Source organism: Homo sapiens, chromosome X (assembly GCF_000001405.40).
Source record: "Homo sapiens chromosome X, GRCh38.p14 Primary Assembly".
Classification (NCBI taxonomy): Eukaryota; Metazoa; Chordata; class Mammalia; order Primates; family Hominidae; genus Homo; species Homo sapiens.
The window spans coordinates 151,415,111-151,418,563 of NC_000023.11; the positions used below are offsets into that span (position 1 = coordinate 151,415,111).

At 36.3% G+C, this 3,453-nt stretch overlaps 1 annotated feature.

The window, feature by feature from the left end:
- Window positions 1,905-3,104: an enhancer, noted in NCBI's record as "MED14-independent group 3 enhancer chrX:150585487-150586686 (GRCh37/hg19 assembly coordinates)". NCBI's record gives its function as "activates an origin of replication core promoter dependent on BRD2, BRD4, P300/CBP and CDK7 cofactors, and independent of MED14, by STARR-seq in HCT116 cells {active_cell/tissue: HCT116}" and the evidence as "EXISTENCE:reporter gene assay evidence [ECO:0000049][PMID:35650434]".

Sequence of the window (3,453 nt, forward strand, 5' to 3'; positions counted from 1 at the left end):
GTAAAACATCCTAAAAGAAAACGACAGCATTTAAAAAAAACATGTACTTTATATTTTAGAGGAGTTTTAAGTTTATAGCAAAATTAAGCAGAAAGTACAGAGTTTCCATATGTCCTCCTCACCTGCTCCCACACCCCCAGCCATCCCCACCATCAACATGAACCTAACACTGACACATCTTTATCACCTAAATTCCATAGTATACATTAGGGTTCATTCTTGGTGTTGTACATTTTTGACAAATGTATAATCACATGTATCCACCATTATAGTATATCACACAGAATAGTTACACTGCCTTAAAATTCTCCTGTGCTTTACCCATTCATTCCTTCCTCCACCCAAGTCCCTAGCAACCACTGATCTTTTTACTGTTTACATAGTTTTGCCTTTTTCCAGAATGTCATATTGTTGGAATCTTACAATATGTAGCCTTTCCAGACTGGCTTCTTTCACTTAGCAGTATGCGTTTATGCTTCTTCCATGTCTTTTTGTGGCTTAATAGCACATTTATTTTTATTGCTGAATAATACTCCACTGTCTGGATGTACCACAATTTATCCATTCACCTGCTGAAGTACATCTTGATGGCATCCAAGTTTTGGCAATTATGAATAAAGCTAGGATAAGCATTCGTGTACCGGTTCTTGTGTGGACATAAGTTCTTAACTCATTTCGATAAATATCAAGGAGCAAGATTGCTGGATCGTATGGTAGGAGTATGTTGAGTTTTATAAGAAACCACCAAACTGTCTTTCAGACTGGCTGTACCATTTTGCATTCCTACCAGCAATGAATGGGAACTCCTCTTGCCCCCATACCCTCACCAGTATTTGGTGCTGTCAGAGTTCTGGATTTTGGCCATTCTAATAGGTGTGTAGTGGTATCTCGTTGTTTTAATTTAAAATTCCCTGATAATATATGATGTGGAGTATCTTTTCCTGTGCTTGTTTCCATCTGTATATGTTCTCTAGAGGGGTGTTACAGCGCATTTTAATAACAAATATTTTAATCAAGACTTTTAAAAAACTGACAATCTTTTCAAATCTTTTAAAAAAGTCATCTTCTTTGTTTTGGTTGCTGTTTCCCGTTACCAGTAATAAGAAACATTTTGTAAAATCTAAAGTCTGAAATGAAATATATGAATCAAAAATGCCTGATGTTTGGGAAGCACATTGATTAAGGAGATGGAGGACCTGGCTTCTCGTCTCATCTTGCCTCTAAGTGTGTGATCTTTTAGGCAAGTCACTTTCCTTTCTGAATCTTGGTGTCTTCTGTAAAGTAAAGGGAAGGACTAAGATGATTTCTAAAGTTCTTGCGGCTGAGTTTCTTTTGTTTTTGTATTTTATGTCAGTCGCTAGAGTTACCACTGTCAACATATAGACATCTGAGCCCTTTGACTGCCTCATGATACATTTAATATCGTTATCGTGAAAATTTTCCATGTTTCTTGTCCATGCTGAAATGAAGAGCTTTGAATGAGGCTGAAACCTAGCAACCAGCTCTCCTGAAATATCTCATTGAATTTTTTTTTTTGTAGAGAGTATTAGGAGAGAGTATAGACGGCAAAAATGGCAACGATGCTTCAGTGTTAATTTCATTTGATGACTCACCTATTCCGTCATCCAAAGATGGCATTGATCTAAATTGTGACCTTTTCTTCTATCTCATATCATTAAAATAATGCCAGTAAAAGGGCAGTGACTCACCACTGGAGCAGATTTTTCTTGAGAAAATTAGCAATGCATTGTCATGGAAAGCTTGGGCAAAGGGTCTTGTATTAACCTCACCTGGTGAGCAAGCAGCATCCTTTGCCCAGCTCATTAAGTGCCTCTTCTATAATATTTCCTGTGGATTCAATCTAGCCTGGCTATGTTATTTTGTTGATTCTCTCCCATTTTGGCAGTATTTCAGGCTTTGAATGCACAAAGTAATTTTCCACCAAATCAGTTGTTAATTGTCATTGCCTCCATAATTGGAAGGGGCTTAGGGAACTTGTTTTGCACTCTGGAACTGTCTTCATATGTAGTTTTTGGAAATAGATTTCTTTATGGACATATATATTAATTGTAGTCTCTACTTGTAGAAGTAGATACTTGGAGTGACAGAAGTGTTGAAGTTATTTTTTTCCACTTACCAAATGAGTACATCACAGGGAAAAAAAATCTAGGAGTTTGGGTCTGAAAAATATGGCCAGGTAATTATACGCAGTTTGCTTATTATTTTAACATACCCTAGTCTTATTAAATTATATGTCATGGCAATATTTAATAATAGCTGTCTCTTGTGTTTAATCTATGCTTCTCTAGCCTACCAAATTCTAGAAGACACTGGATGTAAGTGCTTATATTCCCTTTGGAAAATAGTAACATAACATTACATGTACTTGAAAACTTGATAAATACCTCACACAATTGGAAGAAACCATCTCAAAATCATCTAGTCTCACTCTTCATTGTATCGATGAGACCCAGAAGGCAGAAGTAGCTTGCTGAGGGTCACACATCAAGTCATGAAAAAGCCAGGATGACAACTTAGTTCTCCAACTCCCAGACCAGCTCTCTTGGTATCTCTTGGTATCTCCCTTGGCATCAGAGTTCTTGGGGATAATGTTGAGTGTTCAGGAGAATGTTAAATGATATTCTGTCTCATCTGCTTACGAAATGTACAACATATTTAAAAGCATTGCTATCACAAATGGTCTGACTGTATAAGCCCGTAGATTTAAAGGGAGTAAATTAAGATATTTTAAAACTTTACTTATATGTCCCTTCTTGGTCCTCAGTAAATGAGATGCTTTTAGATTTGTGCTTATAAGTCAGCAAGGTTGATTTCTACAAGATACACAAACAAATTTAATGTTACAACTTCATGGAACACCACACATGGACTTCTGCTGTGGCATAAAGTACTAAGAAAGGCTTTTCCCCAGAGTTGGTAGAAACAAAATCACTAATGTGTGATTAGAATGGATCCTTGGATCCTGCTGAATAAGGAGCCAATTAACACTTTTGGGAGGTAACATTAACTCTTGGATCCCTAGGCTAGGCTACTAGTTATTGTCTGTTCATCCTTTTCATAAATTCATTTCCTAGTAGATAGGGATTTTGTTTTCTCAAGAAGTTTACATACTTTCACAAGAAGCATGCCTGAACTAAAGATAAATAAGTTGACTATGTTTCAGAATAGTTCTAAATGAATTTTAAGAAAACTTAGGGCAATTCAATAATTGGTTGAATCATCCAACTAAAGTAAAACTTTGGAGGTTATAAATAGCAGTACTTACTGGTTTCAGTATCCATGGGGAGGAGTTGATTAGATTGAATTCCATCAGTCTCACCCCAGTCTGCGTAATTCTTGAATTCATTTTTCTGGGGCTGATGCTGTAGAGGTCAGACTTTTTATTCATTCATCCAGATACTAATTTGTGAAATATTTAGTGAGTATATTCCA